The 20,877-nt window shown below is 38.7% G+C and overlaps 1 protein-coding gene across 35 annotated transcripts in view; it reads left to right on the forward strand.

Annotated features, from left to right (window-relative positions):
- Positions 1-19,733, forward strand: part of PAK3 (p21 (RAC1) activated kinase 3) — a 282,965-nt gene extending 263,232 nt beyond the window's left edge. For 21 of the 35 annotated variants that reach the window (XM_047442148.1, XM_047442149.1, NM_001128166.3 and 18 more), the window contains 2 exons: positions 8,793-8,930; positions 12,730-19,733. In XM_047442148.1, the coding sequence (XP_047298104.1) occupies positions 8,793-8,930; positions 12,730-12,819 (228 nt within the window). In that variant the 3' untranslated portion in view covers positions 12,820-19,733. The other 14 variants (XM_011530968.3, XM_011530969.2, XM_017029559.2 and 11 more) reach the window with 3 other exon arrangements.

Below are 20,877 nucleotides of genomic sequence, written 5' to 3' on the forward strand. Positions count from 1 at the left end.
GCAAGGTATTGTTATCCTAGGAGGTGACAGCGCCATACAAGTTATTGCCCCTAAAGTCCTTCCAGTTGGACAAGATATAGAGAGGGGACAACAGTGGTATTGATGATCCTGACGCTGTCTAGGCCTAGGCTAATGTGTTTGTTTGTTTCTTAGTTTTTGGGGAGGTTTTGTTTTGTTTTGTTTTGAGACAGAGTCTCACTTTGTTACCCAGGCTGGAGTGCAGTTGTGCTGTCTTGGCTCACTGCAACCTCCAACCCCCAGGTTCAAGCAATTCTCATGTCCCAGCCTCCCTAGTAGCTGAGATTGCAGGTGCCTGCCACCACACTCAGCTAATTTTTGTATTTGTAGTAGAGACGAGGTTTCGCCCTGTGGCCCAGGCTGGTCTCGAACTCCTGACCTCAGGTGATCCGCCCGCCTCGGCTCCCAAAGTGCTGGGGTTACAGGCGTGAGCCACCACGCCCAGCCTGTTTGTGTCTTAGTTTTTAACAAAAAAGTTTGAAATGAAAAAAGGAAAACATTTTTAAGATAGAAAATGTTTATAGTTTATAGGATAAGGATATTTAAAAAATATTTTTGTACAGCTGTACAATGTGTTTTAAACTGTTACAAAGGAGTCAAAAAGTTGAAAAAATAAGTTTATAAATTTAAAAACTTACAGCAAGCTAATTTATTATCGAAGAAAGACAATTTTTAAATAAATTTAGTGTAGCCTAAGTGTACAGTATTTATAAAGCCTATGGCAGTGTATAGTAATGTCCTAGGCTTTCACATTCACTCACTAGTCACTCAGTGACCCTGAGCAACTTCTAGTGCTGCAAGCTCCATTCATAGTGAGTGCCCTACACAGGTGTACCATGTTTTATCTTTTATACCATATTTTTACTGTACTTTTTCTATTTTTAGATACACAAAGACTTAAACACACTGCACTAGTCACCTACAGTATTCAATACAGTCACATGCTGTACAGATTTATAGCCTAGGAGCAATAGGCTGTACCATATAGCCTAGGTGTGTAGTAGGCTATTCAATCTAGGTTTGTGTAAGTGCACTCTATGATGTTCACAAAACGATGAAATTGCCTAATGATGCATTTCTCAGAATGTATTCCCCATCATTAAGCAATGCATGGCTGTATTTACATGGCATTTACATTGTATTAGGTAGGTATCATAAACAATCCAGAGATGATTTAAAGTATAGGGGAGGCTGTGCATAGGTTTTATATGAGGAACTTGAGCATCCATAGATGTTGGTATCTAAAGGGGTTCCTGGAACCAATCCCCCATAGATACCGAGGAATGACGTGTGTGTGTGTGTGTGTGTGTGTACTAGACAGTGGGCAATATACAATACTGTATGAAACCCCTCTACCTCTCTGAGTGGGTACCTGCCCTTTGTTCCCCATTTCCAAACAGGTAGAGAATGATTGACCTCAAGAGGACCCATTTCTTCTGTACAGGCAGAGGTGGATCAATTAAACCAGTAGCTTATACACAGTGTGCTTCACTCCTTGAAAAGCCCTTGTCTGCCTTTTCTAGGAGCACTCCCATAACAGAGACTGGGAACAGTGAGACGTGGTATTGTGCAGTGGTCAAGAGCATGAACTCTGGATTCATACTCCCTGGATTCAAATACTAGTTGTGTGACATTGGGCAAGTTCTTCTTATCTCCACAAGCCTCAGTTTCTTCTCAATTGGAGATCAAAATAGAACTTATTATAAACAGTCTAAAATAAATTTCAAGGGTTTATATGTAAATTGCACAAGCTAATAGTATCATTCAGTAAAAGTTATCTATTAATACTTTCCATGGATATAACATTTATATAGATATCAAGGTATCAATGAATAGCCCTCTTATAGTTCAGTTGCATTGTATGTTAAGTCGACTTTTAGGGCTGGGCTGGAGCCCTGTCACCATGTATCATATGATTTCCATGGTAAAATGTGTTTTGCATCTCAAATATTCAGCCTACAAAGAAATGTTTGTACTGCACCCTATCCTCTTTGTAAAGTGAGTCTTTATATTGGTGCTGGGGCCCCTCATGGTTGCTAACACGTTTCCATGTAAGTCCTCTGGTTTGTTTTCTAATTTCTTAACTTAAACTTTATAAACTGTTGTAATGAACTGAAGTCACAAACTAAAGCTTTTTAATTAAGTGGTTAGTCCTGTTGCAAAACTGCCTTAATAACAATTTATTGAGTACATATGGATTGTGTGGGGACTTCTTTGGAGAAATGTGGTAACTTCTATGATGACTGCTTTGATCTTTTTTAACTGAGGAAATTGTTAATATAGTAAATTGAATTATCCCTTAAACTTGGTAACCTAGTTTTCTCTTAGTACTTAGGTAAATTCAGTTGCACATCAGTGTCAGTGGAAACTTTGATGTTTGTGTGTTATTACCAAGATATTTAGAGTTATTATGAAGAATTCGAGAACATCAGAAACTTCTAGGTAATGCTTATATCACAAGGAAGAAAGCCACCGTTTTTCTGGCCAAAGGTTGTATTTCTAACATTATAAATAAGGTCCGTAGGTTATGGGGCCTATATTGCCTCACCTCAGGAAGAAAGCAGATCTTGTTAAATGATCTAATAGATTAATCAAGAGTACCTTTTCTGTTCAAGAACAGCCAGAGAGAATAAGTTTCTGAACTATGTTTCAAGTTCCAGAGAACACTTTTTTTCTTCCCTTTCTCTATGGGTCTTTCTGCATTGGCCATGTTTTAGTCATCTTTTTCCAGTTTTCCCTCCCTTTGGTGATGACATCCCCTTACATACACTATTCATACAGCTCTCTTCCTTCTCCCACACTGAACAGTGGGGTCATCAGAAGTTATTACATGCCAGGCCTGTTCAGCTCAGAAAAGGTGCTATTTTTCATTTTCTGCATATCTTCTTAGATTTTAATAGGTCACTTTTAGGTTCTGAGCTTTAATACTTATGTATATAAGTCTGTTATAGTCTCAGCTCAGTTAAATTTAAACATTTTGGCTATTTTGTCCAGCAACAAAAACATTTATTGATCACCTATTTTGAGCAAGTTGTCACAAAATCCACAGTTGGTTATAACACAGCTGCTACCTTCCATGGGCTCACAATCTAGGAAGGAAGACAGACCTGTAAACAAATAACAAGTGTTCATATATAATACAATGTAAAAATAGACATATAAACCAAGAACTCTCAGAGTTCAAAGAAGGAAATGGCTAATTCCATCTGCAGGGTGACCATAGAACTATCCTGGTTTGCTTGAGATTGAGGGACACAAAACCTTCAATACTAAAACCCAGGATAGTCCCCAGAAAACCAGAGTGGTTGGTCACCATGTTTACCTATCTAGGAGAGATGGAGAAGACTTCAAAGAGGAGATGGCATTTTAACCAGTGCTTGAAAAGCAAGTTTACCAGGCACTTAAGGCAAATGAGGATAGCATTTTAGGCAGCAATGAAAGGCATTTCCTATTCAGGGAATGATGAACAAATTGGTGTGAGTAGTATGTGAGCTTCAGCCAGTGTGTATGTGTGTGGCGGGGCGGGAGAGGAGTTGGGAGAAGGGCCCTAGGGTGAGAAGAGAACAGATGGAAACTGGAACTGGAAAGGTGGGCAGGGGGCAAATCATACAGGACTGCCTAAGGAATCTTTACTATGTCCTGTGAATCAGTAGTTTTCAAACAACTATAATGATCCTCTGGTTCCAGTGAAACCTTGCTTGGAAGCACAAATAAATGGAGAAAAATGCACAAATTTTCTGATTGAAAAAGGTATGTGGGCTGGACGCGGTGGCTCATGACCTGCACTTTGGGTTGCTGAGGCAGGTGGATCATGAGGTCAGGAGATCAAGACCATCCTGGTCAACATGGTGAAACCCTGTCTCTACTAAAAATGCAAAAATTAGCTGGGCATGGTGGTGGGCGCCTGTAATCCCAGCTACTCGGGAGGCTGAGGCAGGAGAATTGCTTGAACCCAGGAGGTGGAGATTGTAGTGAGCCATGATCGCACCACTACACTCCAGTCTGGCAACAGAGCAAGACTTTGTCTCAAAAAAAAAAAAAAAAAGAAAGAAAATGTATGTGTTGGGGAGAGTCTTAGAGTATCTCCTCCTCTTTCTCCCTGTTCTTTTCCCTCTTAACTGCTCTTAAGAGGAATTTTGGGGAGCACAGTTTGAAAACCACCTCTGTGGACCATGGGGAGTGACAAAAAATTTTAAAGCAGGAAGTGAATGACATGATGAGACCTGTGATGAGATAAGATTGTTAAGGAGGATGGACTGAAGAATAAAAAAGCTTGAATAATGGAAAAACGGTTAGGAGGTTATTGTAACTTTGGAACCATCTGAAAGAAGCCCGACTTTAAGCAAAGACAACAGGGATAGAGAGAAGTGGATGGGTATGAAAGACATTTCTAAAGGTTGCATTAATAGAACCTGGTGGACTATTTATAATAAGGGTGTGGAGCGGGGAAGATTGCTGGGTGAGGAAGAAGGGGGAAAAGATGATTATATGGTTTCTTACTTAACATTAGAAGCAACCAACTAGTATATGGGAAATCTGTAGTCTAATTTCTAATAGCCACCTTATTTTCTTTGAGTTTTCATTAGCTCAGATAAAACCAACATGTTATCACTCACACCCAGAACTATTGTCCTTAATCTTTCTTCATCTAATACTTGACTTTGCTAGTAAAACCCTTTTTGTTGTCATTGTTTTATTGGCTACAACTGTATTTGTCTCTCATTAGCTGGGTAGTGGGTAGCAATTTTCTTTTTTTTACTAAGAGAGTCCCCAGCTTACTCACAGGATGTGTTCCAAAAGTACATTTTTAAGTTAATTATTTGGACCTCAGAGTACATTTTCCCATAGAAGTGGCATTATACATAGTGATTAGGTTCCCAGGCCAGTCCACAAAAGCCAGTTTAGCCCATATATAACTGAAAGTGTGGATTTTTGCAATGGAAATTAGTTGTAAATGATACTGTTGCAATTAAAATGAAAACAATAGTTGCAAAAGAAATAGTCTGGGTTTTTGTTTCCCTCAAAGAGTAGGGCTTGATGAAAAGCAGGTTTAATCCTAGGAAGACAAAGAGAAATAGATGGGGATTTTTGTGTAAATTGGACACTGCAGCTTTTTAACTGTATTTTCTAACTAATGTTTTGGAGGTTTTAAAATAATAAAAGCAACTGTGTCCATTGTAGAAAATTTGAGAAATTAAAGAATACATTTCAAAAATTAAGTCACCAACAATCCTACCATCCAGAGAGAACCAGTATTCACAAATTGGTGTGTTTCAGCCTTTTTCTTACCGCATGCATTTTTTAATCAGTTCACCAATAGTAATTATGGTGCATCGACATGATGAACTATTATGCAGCTCTTAAAATGATATTTATGAAGAATTTTTAAAACATCCAAAAATATTTATGACATAGTGTTGAGCAAAAGGCAACCTTGCATTTGATACCTTGTTTATGGATGAGGGAGTATAAGCAGATCAACACTAATCAACCAGGGCAGGAGTCTGCTGTTAGGCCACCAGTCAGAACCTCCTACTATCAGACCCACCCCCTAACAAAAACTACAGCCAGACCTTTTTGTTGAAGTTCTGAGGAGGACATAAGGGTTCTTTGAAGTACTGTAGAGGTTCGTAGCACTGGCTCTTCATTACTTCAGATTTTCCTTCAAATTACAGGGCTTTCTTCTCCCTTGATGTACTATTTCACTAGCACTACTCAGGCTTAACAACTGTGATTAAGGTCATTTTTTTGGATTCATAAATGGAATGGAAAAAAGGCCAAGTATTTCCTTAGGTAATTATGCATAGATTGGAGAGAGATGAGAAGGACTCAGGTAGAGAAGATGTGTATGTACTTTCAAGGAAGAAAATTATGTGGAATAGAATATATTAAGCTAAGAATGGTGAAAGTAAAGTGAGAAAATGAGACATTATAGCATGAATACAGATCTACAGAGAGCGGAAACGAGTCTGGGAAAGGAAGAAAGAGGTGTGCTTGTTTAGGTCTGGGCTTGGCTACAGAGCAGGAAAAAAAGGAAGAACAGTGACTTTGGGGAAGTTGTAGCCAGCTGAAATCAAAGTTTTAGGAGGAGGCAGCGAATGCAATTTGTAGCAACTGATTTTGTTTTAATAAAGGAATAAAGATGTTTGGGAGGACAGGTGCTTCAAGTACTAATCATCCAAGAAGAAAAGCAGTTTGAACTTAATTGACTATATCTGCTATGATTGTGCACTATTCGATTTTAGCCCAATCAGTGATTTTCTAAAAGCATCCCATCTCCTTTTAGTCAAAACTGGATTTGTCACTGACTTGTATGTTGGCATGGAGGTCCTAATAGCTGCCACCTGCATTTCCTGTTCATCAATGAAGGTATTGAAAATTACAAAGGAATGAGAGTTGGGGGAAAGGAAGATGTTCATTTCGTAGGGGTGAGGGATGTATTTACATGTGGGTTTTTAAGTGTACAGTACTAGAAGGAAAAGCCAAAAGTTTCCATGCATTCTAGAGAAGCATATGGCATTGTAATTCTCACACATTGCTATGCAAGACAATCTCCTATGGAATTCTGTGGCTCTTACCTTTGGTGTACATACGACGCAGAGATTCTGAGTTATTATGTGTGAATTGGGCTCCAGGTTCTCAGCCAGGGATTCTCATTGTTGGTTGTAAATTGGAATCACCTGGAGAGCTTAAAAATATTGGCACCTAGGTTCTGTTCCCAGAGGTTTTTACTTAATTTTTCTGGGGGTGAGAACTGAGCATGGGGATTTTCTAACTCTCCCCAAGTGATTCTAATGTTCAGACAAGTCTGGGACTCTCTAGTTTAGCCCATTGCTTAATTACTTGGGTGGATTAAACTAGTTGTTCTTAAAGTGTTGTCCTGGAACCAGCAGCTTCAACATCAACAGGACACTTATTAGAATGCAAATTCTTGGGCCCCTGCCCATATTTACTGAAACTCTTGGGGTGGCTCAGAAACCTGTGTTTTAACAAACCCTCTGGATGATTCTGATGCATGCTATAAAGTTGACAGCCACTAGATTAAACGGTTGTTCCTGACCCTTTCTAAAGTACATCTGTGGGAGTTGCTAAAAACAAGAGATGTCTTCAAGAGCTGATGAAAACTGGCCTGCAAAAGGACTTTTACAGAAATACCTATAATAATAATAATAGAAGCTAGAGTAGAGAAAGGGGAAAGGGGATGATAATTTGCTGCAAAACCTGGGCAAGTTCAGGGGGAACATGTCTTCATGAGTTAGGGAGTTTGTTGCATGGGCTAGTAATACCCTGGCAGTACCTGCAGGCAAACTCCTACTTATTCTTCAATACCCTTTTAAAATGTCAGCCTCCTCTGTGAAGCTTTCTCTGAGCTGTGGTGTAAACTACTTCATCCTTGTGTTTACTTAGTGCTTTCTAGTTTCCTCGATTAGCTCTTGGCCCACTGTACTGTAGCTCTCTATATATGTCTGTCTCCCACTAAACTGCGTGATCCTTCAAAGCAAGAACACTGTCTTATTCATCCTTAGCTCTCCAGTGTCTAATAAACTATCTGGTACATACTAAATGCTCTTGAATTGTTTGCTTAGAGGGGGGATCAGTAATGGCCAGCTTTCTTGTATCAAGAACCTTCAGCTGGGCGCAGTGGCTCACACCTGTAATCCCAGCACTTTGGGAGACCGAGGTGGGTGGATCATTTAAGTTCGGGAGTTCAAGACCAGCCTGGCCAACATGCTGAAACCCCATCTCTACTAACATGGTGACGCGTGCCTGTAATCCCAGCTACTCTGGAGGCTGAGGCGGGAGAATCACTTGAACCCAGGAAGGCGGAGGTTGCAGTGAACTGAGATCGTGCCCCGCACTCCAGCCTGGGCAACAGAGCAAGATTCCGTCTCAAAAAAAAAACCTTCAAAAGATGGGTTTACCTTTGTGAATTAATCGTAGTCCTGAGTTCAACTCTGACTAGAAGACTAGAGACATTGATTCTCTCAGGCCATCATGACTTGATATCTCTTAGTGGTGGCCTTATACCACAAAGCTCTCAGAGAAATATACAATTATTAGCAACTTATTATTTTACCATGATAATTGGCAGGTGCCAAGACTACTATTGTCATTTTTTCCTCATATTTCCTCTCATTGTAGATGCACCTTCATGGGAAATCTAATTAAAATCAATAGGGATACAGCTGCCACAGGGTAAAAGTATTTGAGTTCTTGGGCCCCACAGCTTGCCTCTCTCATCCAGGCACTGGCATCTTCTGGTTCATTGTACTTCCCTAATTCTATAATGTACTCTCTTCATTCCACATCTATTCACAAACATTCTTCAAACAAGATAAGCACTTAGCAAATTACAATTACCTTTCCATTGCACTTTCCCAAGGTTATACTCAGGTCAAAATGAATGGATGTATGTGTATTCCCCAAGTCTTTAGAGAAACAGATTTACAGGCAATCCTTTGGTTTAATTTTCTAGATACTTAATCACATATTCGTTATATGTGGGTTTTTACTGGCTTAACTCTCAGAGGACAACCATATAACCTTATTTTTAAGTTTTTGGAGGTAGGACGACACTTCACTGTCACCTCAGTTACTGCCAATATTAATCATTTCTAAATGTTATAGAAACTTTGAAATATATGTGTCATTCTCTAAAGTGGAATTATTAAGACCCAGAATGTAAACCAGAAGAAACTGGATTTTTGCCGTCTGTGCCAAGCCATGATTTTAATATGTATGTGCTGAATGGATTTTTCTATTTTTTTCTACAGGCATTGTATCTGATAGCCACTAATGGAACTCCAGAGCTCCAGAATCCTGAGAGACTGTCAGCTGTATTCCGTGACTTTTTAAATCGCTGTCTTGAGATGGATGTGGATAGGCGAGGATCTGCCAAGGAGCTTTTGCAGGTGAAAATAAAATAGGACAATTACAAAGAGAGGCATTATACTCAGCTTTTCCATCTCAATGTGTGACAGAGAGCTCTGTCAAGAGATGTCTAGAGTTAGGCTATTACCATTTTATTTTAGACCACAGGCACATAACTATAGGCACGCATCTAATACATGATTGATTGACGTGTTGCCTTTCTTCTGAGAAGTTGGCAGTGTAATCTGTAAATCTCTTTTGTTCTTCCTGGAGTCTTATTTTGCAAGGAAAAAAAAAAAAGCAATGTGACCCTCTGGTGTTGGTGTTTTGTTCTAAACTTTACTTGTGCCCCTGGATGTTGTATGCAGGTGCTCTTGGCCGGAGGTAATTCTCTACATAACTATGCAATTATTTCCATGGCATTTGCTACTCTAATGCTTTGCTGGTCAAAGCCCCTTTGCTTGTGATGCCAATTGGCAGGCACCTGCTTGCCTGGGTGAGTACCATCCAGTGGTGAGTGCCTCTGTAACCATTTGTCCTTTTCACGGCTCCCAGGGATTAGTATACATGATGAGAAATAATACTTACTATGTACCAAATTCTTTCAATAAATTATTTCATTTTTATAACAACTTTATAGGGTAGGCATTATTATCCCATTTTATAGATGTAAAAGTTGAGACTCACAGCTCTTGAAGGGCAGAGCTGGGATATGAGCCCTGAATTGTCTGACTTTCCACCACACGTCACACACAAACCAATTTAGATAAAAATATGTCTGTATTTGATAAAGCAGTACGTGCCCAGGATTATACACATAGCTTCACTGCTGGGGAGTGTTTCTCAGGGACATGTATGAAGACATTTAACATCTAAGAACAATGACTGCTATTTTTCTTTGTGATTTTGAACACATAAGCCAATTAAACAGAAGGTGCAACACTTGGTTATACAGCGCATTAACCACAGATTGTCTGTTCTAGCCTACTCCCTGAAAGAAAAACCTGTTCCTGTTGCTTCTGAACTCCTTCCAGAGACAGAGCTGCACCCAGGCAAAAACTATCCCACCCTAACTCAGATCATACCTGGAATAAACCTATTTGGAGAAACTGAAGAGACTACATCTTTTCTTTTCTGCTACCTGCAAGCATTTCACAGGTTATCATAGGGCCCTAAAATGTCAAATCTGGAATGGCCCTTTGTTAATCCTCTAATTAATCCAGCCTCAAATTACAGATGAAAAGACAACTTTTGAGTACATCACTTTTATATTTTTTCACCCCTCCCACCACTCCACATACACATTCTGATACACATTCCTCTTATATCTTCTTGTAAGGATAATTGAAGGTGTAGGTTATCTTCAATTGGCTATCCAGATAAATGTGGCTATCCAGCTAAATAGATCATTAAATCAATTATCTAGTTAATTCATTCCCCAACAATACTTTTATATGAACCAGTCAGATAACTGATACAAAATTGTATTTTGAGTCTAAATTGAATAGTTTATTGCGTCTTTTCATTTTATATATGTAAGCAATAGCCTGTGTTTCTCTTTGAGTCCATGCAACTCCATTCTCTGACTCTAGCCTATTATTGCCATTTTCAAGATTAGAAAGGGGAGAGATGCATGACATTCACCCCACTGGAAGGCTGGAGAAAAGACACAGGTCTTCAATATTTGTGTGTCTTTCTGTATGACCTAAGACAGTTCTGTCCATCAATTGATATTTATTGAGCAACTTCCATTTGTAAAGCATAAGTGCAGTGGGTGATACAAACCTATTAAAAGGCATGATTCCTCCATTTAAGAAGTTCACAACCTTCTTAGGTACATGAAAATATAATGCAAAGCTGTTTACAGACTCATTCAACCCAAAGAGCTGTTCAAATAGTAAATGATATGGTTGATTAGAGAAATACTTCTGTTAGCTAGGGGTGATCAGAAAATGTCTTCAAACAGGAAAGAGGTCTTCTGGGCCTTAAAGAAGTGATCAGGTTTAGTTAAGTTGAAGAAAATAAGGGAAGGGATTTCAAATGGAAGGAAGTGTTAGGGTATAACCAAAGACATATGGGCAAGGTCTACAGGAACAGAACCTAGAAAGTGTAGCTGAAATAAAGAGTTCAAGTAAAGAAGCTGCAGGGGATAATCCTATGGTGGGCCTTGAACACCAGGCTTAAGAGTTGGGGCTGTAGGCAGTGGGGAAACACTGAAGATGTCTGAGGGACAAGCATGATGACAACTTTGTTTATGAAGATTAATCTGGTAGTATGTGGTAAGAATTAGCAACAGGAAAAAATGGAGACAGGGAGACCAAGGGGGAGTTATTATAATTTGGGATTAAGATGATTAGGATTGAATTAGAAAAAGCAAGAGATGGCCAGACGTGATTGCTATGATTGCTATGCCTGTAATCCCAACACTTTGTGAGGCCGAGGCAGGCGGATCACCTGAGGTCAGGTGTTTGAGACCAGCCTGGCCAACATGGTGAAATGCTGCCTCTACTAAAAATACAAAAATTAGCCAGGCATGGTGGCATGCGCCTGTGATCCTAGCTACTCAGGAGACTGAGGCAAGAGAATCACTTGAACCTGGGAGGCGGAAGTTGCAGTGAGCTGAGATTGTGCCACTGCACTCCAGCCTGGGCAACAGAGCAAGAGTCCATCTCAAATAATAATAATAATAATAATAATAATAATAATAATAATAATAATAAGCAAGAGATAAATGTAAGAGACGTTGAGAAGAGAGTACCCGGTAGCTTATTGCATTTAGAACATAAAGAAGAGGAAGACAAAAGTGACTTCAGGCTATCAAGTCAATGGTAGCATTCAGCAAGAGGACAAGTGATGGAAGACAATATAATAGCTAACATTTCTTGACCCTATGTAACTTACAAGGGATTGCCACTTACCTCATTTAACCATTTTAATAAACAGAGATGAGGATTTAACCTAAGTGCTCTGACTCCAAAGCCCCTGTAGCTTACATTACACAAGATTGCCCTGCTTGTGAGACTGTAACATAACTTTTTAAATGTTGAATTTAAGGTGACAGAAGAAAATCCCGTAGGAAATATCCAGCAGGAAAACTAGGACCAGAGTTCAGGAAAGAGATCAGGTCATACACTATGGATTTAGGAGTCATCTCCATAAAGCTGATGGTGGGTTGAAACCATGAAAGAGAATGACATCTGTAAGAAATTAAATTAAAAAAAGAAGATGATGACAGCCAAGTTCTTATGAGTGGGAGGTAGGAGGAGGAAGTGAAACCAGGGAAGAAAATGGAGCTGGAATATTCAGTGCACATGCGCATGGAAGAGACCCAATATGGTAGAATGTCACAGGCTTCTGAGGCAAAAAAAATAAATTAAAAAAATTCAAAGAAGGAAGGGATATTCACTTTTATTAAGTACTGCAGAGGGGCCAAAAGAGAAATGGTAGAGGCACAGCCGTTGGGTTTAGCAGTTAGTAAGCCATTGGTTTCAGGACAGAGTTCTCTAGTGGTTAACTAAATATACTTTTTCCAAGCATGACAGCTTCTCTAGATAAATATATCAGTTTAGGAAAATCAGAGAGTCAGACTGTTGCAAACACAGTGAGGTTTTACAAGATCCCTCAGAGTTTCTCACTCTGCTAGTCAGCTTCCAGAGGATTTCATGACAATGAAGTACAAAAACATCTGAAGGACAAAAGCTGGCACCGTTTTTAATTAAATGATATTTAATTGGGTGTTCAAAATATATCTTAATTCAAAAGGGCTGCTTGAAAATGTAAAGTAATATACTTGTTGGAGGAAAGAATTCCAATAATTCCTCTTTTTCCTTCCTTTTGCAGCATCCATTTTTAAAATTAGCCAAGCCTCTCTCCAGCCTGACTCCTCTGATTATCGCTGCAAAGGAAGCAATTAAGAACAGCAGCCGCTAAGACTGCAAGCCTTACACCTCACCATCTCCCTCATGAGTAAGACTGAAATAAAACTCTGCTGCAGGAAAGATGGAAGAAAAGACAGTCAAATGGGGTGGGGGTTCTTTACCTTTCAAATGAATAGAAACTTCTTATAAGCCTTTTTCCTACTCCCTCAGATTATGTAATTTATTTGTAAGCCTGAATCGCAGCCCAAACAGGGCAGCAATGTTGAAGTGACCATAAAGTGGTCACTTCCACCGTGAAGCGAAAGAGCCAGTAGTGAATCCCCTCATTTTGTGCATTCACTTTGAAGAAAAAGGTTTCTCAAAGATGCACACTCCCTCTTCATAGTGTTGTGTTTGTTTTTAAGTTAGAGAGTAGTCCCTCTTGCATTCAAACCTCCTTCAAAACTCCTTACCCAATGTGATGTTTTTCACTTGCATTGTCATTAGATGTCCAGAAAAAAAAAAGATGTCAAAATGTTTTTCTAAAAAAAGAAAGCAAAAAAAGCAAGGCAAAAAAAAAAAAAAAAACAAACAAAAACAAAAACAAAACAAAAACAAGCAAACAAAAAATACCAGAGCAAGTACTGTGTGAACATGTGGAAGTCCATGCCCTAATAGAGTTGCAATTTTTTATTCTTCTTCTATAGTGGTGGCTTGGTTTGTGTACCTATTTTTCTGCATTTGTATTGGAAAAGGTTTCTTTTAAGACATTTTCCAAAAGTGGAGAGGAATATGTGTGTTCAGGAAGGGCTTTCAAAAAACTGTATATCTAAATAAAGCTCAAACGGTGAAATCCTGTCACATTTTCACAATGATGCTTAAAAGATAATTGAGTAAACCAGGTTGTTAATCTCCTTAATACCTGAAAGAGGACACACTGAAACTGAAACTGTGACATCCTGCTAGGTGAGTTCAGGTTCTGAACCTAGGAAATCCTCATAGGAGAAACCACATTTAAACAAAGATGGGACTTTCTCTGAGAGCCAAAACCAGATAAATGTAGAATACTGAAATCCTTGTTGGACATTAAGTAAACAAAGATAATGATACCTAAATTAATCCTCTCTTGTGCTTATGAAACATATGCACTGTAAAATAGGCATACCAGGAGGAAATAGATACATTAATCATCATTTACTTATGATACAAATTATTTATTTTGACAATTTATAACGTTTAAAAAAGTTTTTTAAAGATCTAGAGAAAGGTGATATAGTAAACATTCAACTCTGTAAGAAATGGGAGGTCAGTGAAGGCTACATCCCAATCAATATTTGGCTCTAAGTACCTCTTCCCATTTTTCCTATGTATCACCTATTTCTGTTTCGGAATATGGTGTGTTCATGCTTAGTTCTTTGGGCTTTTGAATATCAAAAGCATATTCATAAATGTCTTGAAATTCTCTCCAGTGGAAAATAATTTTAACTTACAATCATATCCCAAGAAATGTCAGTCCGACAGAATTCCTTATATGACTTGGGGAAAATAACAAAATTTGACTACTATTTCACCATATATCTATTTATTAAAAAATTCAACAGTTGGCACTTCCTGAATCTTCTGAGAGTAGAAAAATATCTGCGGAGTGTCTGTGTAGAAAAGGATATGCCTCTCTTTTGAGTGTATTGACAATTTTGTAAATTACAGAAAGTTGTTTCTCTAAGCCTTTGAAAAACTAACAATTTGTGTTATAGAAGGCTTCTTAATTTGCAGTATAAAAGAATCTAAACAGAACTTATGTACATTCAGCCAGAAGGGGAAAGAGATCAGTTACATAGGCCTCTCTCCTTCTTTGCCAAGGTACATCCATCCATCTAACCATCCATATATCCACATCTTAAAATGAAAGCACTTTCTTTAGAGTTTCAGCAAACTATATAGTGTACGTGTTTATGTTCAGGAGATGACCCCACTGGTGTATTTCCTATTTTCCCTATTGTTTTCTTTGACTGTAAAAGTTGGGAGAGGCTTGACCTCCTCCCCTTGAAAATGTCCACAGTGGGATAAAACAACAAATGTGAAAAGAAAATGAAACGGTAATATTAATTTGAAGCATACTATGTTATACTTTGCAAAAACGAATCTGGGCCTGTAATTTTTAATGCCACACTGCTCTAATGAGAGAGAGAGGCCTTAATTTTGATTTCATTTAAAAATAAGTACTTTAAAAAATTTTTCACTCATAGTGCCGGGAAATTCAATGAAATCCTGGGATGCAAATAAAAATCAGTACATTAGTGACTGTGTCCTGCCAGTGGAGAGAGCCCAATACCTGGTTAGGAAGCCCTATTCATTAGTTAGCATCCCTTACATGTTGAGAAGGCCTTTTTTTTGTTGTTATTTTGGAGACCTTGGAGCAGTGACCCTTCAGATCACTGTAGGCAGAGAAATGGCTTCTCTCTTATGCTTTCAGTTCAGCATATTAACAATGAGGAGCCAGGTACTTCTTTACTACCACTTTGTACCAAGATTTGATAATAATATATCCCAGGAGGCATTACTTTTATAAATTTGTATTCATGTAAATTTTCAAATGAGAACAGCTTCTAAAGCCCCTTCCCTGTATTGGAGAGTTATGTATATTTCTAATAAGTATTAGAAAGAAGCTGTTTCTCATGCCACAGTGATGCTGAAGGATTCACATTTGGTACAATCGAGTAACTTGAACGCCAGATTGTTAACAGTTTATTCTCTTTCCCTGGATTTTTAAGCTCATCTTGACACAGGTGAGTCTATCCAAATCTTTGATGTTGCTAGTGTGCCCTGAGATAACGAGGGCACATCTTTCAATGTTGATTCCAAAATGTCCTGAGTTAGGAATAGGGCAGTGGGAAAGTCAGGGAAGGGTGAGAAGCACAGTAGAGATTATTTATTTAAAAAAGGAAAGAACGTTAATGTTGTTAGCAAGGATCCAGTGCGTTGTCATAATCCCATGAGGATTTTCAGATGACACAATCCCCTCAAATCAGTCACCATGTTGGGTAATGACTTCGTTCTTGCTGATCTCGTGTGTGTGTCATTGTAAATATTTGTGTGTCCATGTTCCATTTTGGCTACTGGATGGCCAAGCCATGTAAGAAGATTTAACTCAAGTATTTATTCTTTATGTTATTCAGATTTCTTTCAGGCTTGTGAACTGCACCCCAATGTTTGAGTTTAACCACCTGATCCTTACATCTATCCCTCCCCGGTGAAGCACATTCCATTGCTAAAAGAAAAAGAAACACGAAATTGCTTCCTGTTGTCTGTATAACTGTTTTGATAGTTTGAGATATTTGTCTATAAATGATATTTCTCAGCTCAAAGATCGTGTAAATAATTATATTCCTTTGCTCAATGGGTTTATTTCTAATGAGGCTGCCAGTTCTGAGAGATTCTATAATATCACTTTTAAATAACATAAACAGGGATTACAACTATGTAAAAAGAAATGCATATGGACAAAGACTGGGAACACAGATAATTGAAATCAGTTGTGTTAGGGTGGTGGAATTATGTGAATTTTTTTTTCTTTTTAAAATTTTATTTGATATTGTTATAATATTGCTTTACAATAAATAAACAGCAGAAAGGGAACTATAGACACATAGAAAAGATGCCAGAAGCAGATGCCTTCTGGCCAGAGCGCAGAGCATGCAGGGCAGAGATATTTGCTAGTTACAATTATTCCATAGGCTTTATGCTTGCCTGGGTGCTGAGGTTGGCACACGCTCGGGTATGGCACACGCTTTCTTAGGAGACTATTATCTATAAGTTAAAGCTAGGGAGATGTCACTATTAGAACTCCAAACACACTCTTCTGCTTTAAAACAGGTTGTCTGCCCTCTGCTTTGGTATGGCATTCGGGTGTCTGTTTTGTGGTTGCTTTAGATTGGAGGGGTGACCATTTTATTAGCCCCCTTGATAACATCTGTTGCAGATATTGCCTTTCTGGAACGTTTTAACAGACTCTCAGGTTGAATTTTGGAGGACTAGAAGGATAAAATCCCCAGCTCCCACCATTTTCTTGTCCAACAGGATATTACTGTATATCATTCAGGTAGGATTCTTCTTTTAATAACCAATAGGGCAAGTCCCACTAATTTCAATAGAAGTTATGACTTGCAATTAAAAGCTGACTTTGAAATCATTAAACAAATATGTAGGACTGTCTCTGCCTGTTGGCATTCAGTTATAGTTCTGTTAATTTTGGCTTGGGATGGTCTCCATGTGCTTTTTTCTGCCTATTTATAGGTTGTTTGCAGTAGTTGTGATTTTTAAAGAGCAAGGGAGACCATCTAACCAAAGGATAACTTCCTTCTAACTCACCAAAGAAATTTTAGGTGAGAACTTTAATAATGAGGTAGTCACCTCAGATATGCTGCTTAGTTTCACTAAAAGCAGACCCTATACCTAGAGAAGTCACTGGCTTTTTATTGGTCATTCTCAATACAGAAATACTTAGGGGAGTCTTAACCCTGCCATCCCCGGTTGAATCTCTTGGTCTTTATCTAAGCTACTTGCAGTTAATATTCAGTTAAGCAAAGGTATGGCCAGTAGTGCAAGTATCTCCCAGTCTCTGAGCTCTGAACAAGAGGACTGAAATTCAGCATTTGTAAACTGACAGTTTGATGGGCCTGGGATTTGAAGTGAACTCAGCACACAATTCTGAACGTGTATTTGCATGTGGACTGGGAAGGAAATAAATGGGAACTTGGAAATAATGGAATATTTCTCCTATGAAAGAATTTTTCGTAGAAGATTTGTTTTTGATATAATCTTTCTGTTGGTTAGCTTTTAGTGTTTTCATTCCTTTTCTGATCCACACTCCTTTAAGTGACCAAATGAATATAACCCAACATGCATTGGGAATGTGTTTAATATTAAACAATGTCTAACTGAATCTGCAAATGCGGGAACTGAGATATCACCTCCATGTGCACACCTGTGTGTACGAGTATTCTATACAACTTGTAGCATTTACTGCCACTTAATTGGGTTGAACTTGCAAGATAAACTTTTGGAAACTGCTTAGTGCCATCGGAGTCTCCTTTAGAAGCTGCCATCAGGCAAATGCTATCCCATAATACCAGCAGTAAGCCTGGCAACATGTTCAACAGATTTAGTACCCAAGAGGAAATCAACAGCGATAGTAGAGAATGAGTCAGATGTAGTGGGATAAATACTAGCCTAGGAAGAAGGAGCCCCGGAGTCTAATATGAGCTTTATTACTAAATTGCTATGTGACGCTAGGCAAGTCACTTAACCTCTCCATGGCTGTTTCCTCATCTGTAAAATAAGTGTATTGGACTAGATGATCCTTAGGGTCTTTCCAAAAGTCTAACATTCTATGGCATTATAGGTTGCCTTGCAAATTCAGCCTGCTATAGTGATGGCAAATATCACGTTTAAGCCTGAGTCTCTTATGTTGCAGTTAAATAAAAGAACTATGTAAGATGATTTTTAAAATTCAAGCAAATGGGCCGGGTGCGGTGGCTCATACCTGTAATCCCAGCACTTTGGGAGGCCAAGGCAGGCGGATCACCTGAGGTCAGGAGTTCGAGACCAGCCTGACCAACATAGAGAAACCCCATCTCTACTAAAAATACAAAATTAGCCGGGTGTGGTGGCGGGCGCCTGTAATCCCAGCTACTTGGGAGGCTGAGGTGGGAGAATCGCTTGAACCCAGGAGGCGGAGGTTGTGGTGAGCTGAGATCATGCCATTGCACTCCAGCCTCGGCAACAAGAGTGAAACTTCGTCTCCAAAAAAAAAAACTCAAGCAAATGAAGTTCATAATAATAGGGGATGTTGATAAAACTTGTGGCAGCCTTCCAATTCATTTACAGTTGTTTCGTTTTGTTTTTGTTTTAATGTCCATTTTCTGTTGACTGTTCCCAGTTTTCATTTTCCATACAGTCTGTATGTAAAGTCTGGTTTTCATTAAGCTGTGGCCAGTATTTGCCACTACAACAGAAACACACTGTCACACTTGCTAGAATATAACTGTACTTGAGCTTCTCCTTTCCTGTGAAGTAGTGCTGGGCTTTCTAGAGTTTAATTCTCAAGTGGCACAAGATAGCAGAGCCCATGCATTTTAATGGCTGAGACTGCTAAGAGTGAACCTAAACACTTACAAGTTGCAGAGAGAAATGAAAAAGTAATTACATGCTATTAGCATTGAGAAATGTTGACAAATTAATTTGTTGGGAACCAAAGATAGCATTTCTGATGACAACTCCCACAGTGATTGGCCAGTTGTATGATGAGTACACTGCTGGAAAGAGGGTAAACTGGGAGTTAGTGGATGGTCCCAATGCCCTGCCTACAGCAGAGTGCCAACCAGCCCTGAGTGCAAAATTCAAGTTCAATGTGTGTGCTTGTGTGTGGTGTGCTTTATGGACCCGCAAATACCATATTCATTATTGATGATAAGATCTTCACAGAATCCTGTAGCTACTAATGCATTGAGTTTTTAATCTCAGTACATCAGCCAGGAGGAGCCAGATCACAGGGTAGTGATGTCTACTGGGATTATACTCATAACATCTACACAAAACAAGTTGAGAAGGATCCACGTTTTCATTGTTTATCAGAATTGTATCTCATTTGGCTGAGCATTACTTTTGTCAGAATGTGTTATCTGTAAACCATGTGTAGTGAAATTCTTCTGTAACTTTGGATTAAAGGTATTTATGGTCTTTTTGTTTGTTTGATTTTTAAGTAAGTTATTTCTTTTGTAGACCTGCTGATGGTATGGTTCCATCCTTCTGACCTCAGCATCCAATCTTTTTAAGGATTTTTGTTTTCAATATTGTTATTTTAAATTGTGGTTGAAGCAATAGAAAATTGAAATATGGATTGTGCATGACTGTGTCTTGAGTGTAAAAATATTGCAGTTTGAAACTTGGACCTAAAGTATTGCAAATAAAAATGACAAACATCAATGAGCTATTGCTTCTGTCTTCTGTCACCTTCCCATCCACCCCCCTTGGCATTGACCATTTTACCTACTTCACAGGTTAGAGGGTATCACCATCTCATAGGTCTGGAGTCAGGGAAATGCCCAGCCTTGTCAGCCATACAGGAAATGCTCTGCAAATTCTGCTACTAAATAACTCGGACCCAGAGTCTCCATCTGATGTTTACATGGAATAGCTCAGAGAGGTGAATGTGTATACTCAATGCAGGTCAGAAGCCTTGCAGATCACAAATGTAGATGAAGGGGAACTACCAAAAGAAATCACGTGTAGTAAATAATTTGTTTTTGATCATCTTTCCACTTGGAAAATTCTGAACACGCAAAACCATCTGCACAATGTTTAGTTTTGTCTTATATCTGATACCAAAGTCCAGAGGTCACAGGAGGCATTTCAACCAACATTACTGAAAACCTTCATTCATTAATTTGCTCACACATTTGAAAAGCATTTATTGAGCTGCTGCTACATGTCAGACACTGTAGATATTCAAAAAATCACCTGTAAATGTGACTAAATGACAGTAAAGCTTGTTAAAAGCTGCTAGATGCACCTGTTGGAGTCAGGTTTGTCAGAGGCTCTCTTGAGTCCTCAAGACTCAAGGACACCAGCAATTTGGTAAACTGGAGGTTTGTTCCACTAGTATTACTTGTACAGTGGGCATAGTACTCCTTCTAGAGAACGTGTATATAATTTTGTACCTTTGTGTAAGTGCATACACACTGGTACTATATTCCTTACAAATGGATTATGTATCTTACCAAATGTTATTTGGTTGTTTTCTAGTTCACTGTACTTACATGCAAGCTTTAATTTTCTCACTTAATCTCTCCATGTTGAAAGCCAAAAAGACATTTTCTGTAAATATGAGCGGGCAAGTGAATGAGAATTCCAGCAACTAGGATTTAGCCAAGTTCTCTACTGCCCATGTGCATAATTACTGCACTGCCTCTCTTACTAACAAGCTCCTGCTAACAAGCCTCACACCCTTCCAGCCTTTCTTGCCAGGTTACTCCAACTATTTTTCTATTCCTATTAAATGAAACAGAAATACTGTCTATGAGTTAGCAAATTACCAATATCTTCCATCACAAAATAAAATTTGAAGGCATTT

Source organism: Homo sapiens, chromosome X, assembly GCF_000001405.40.
Source record: "Homo sapiens chromosome X, GRCh38.p14 Primary Assembly".
NCBI classification, from domain to species: Eukaryota; Metazoa; Chordata; class Mammalia; order Primates; family Hominidae; genus Homo; species Homo sapiens.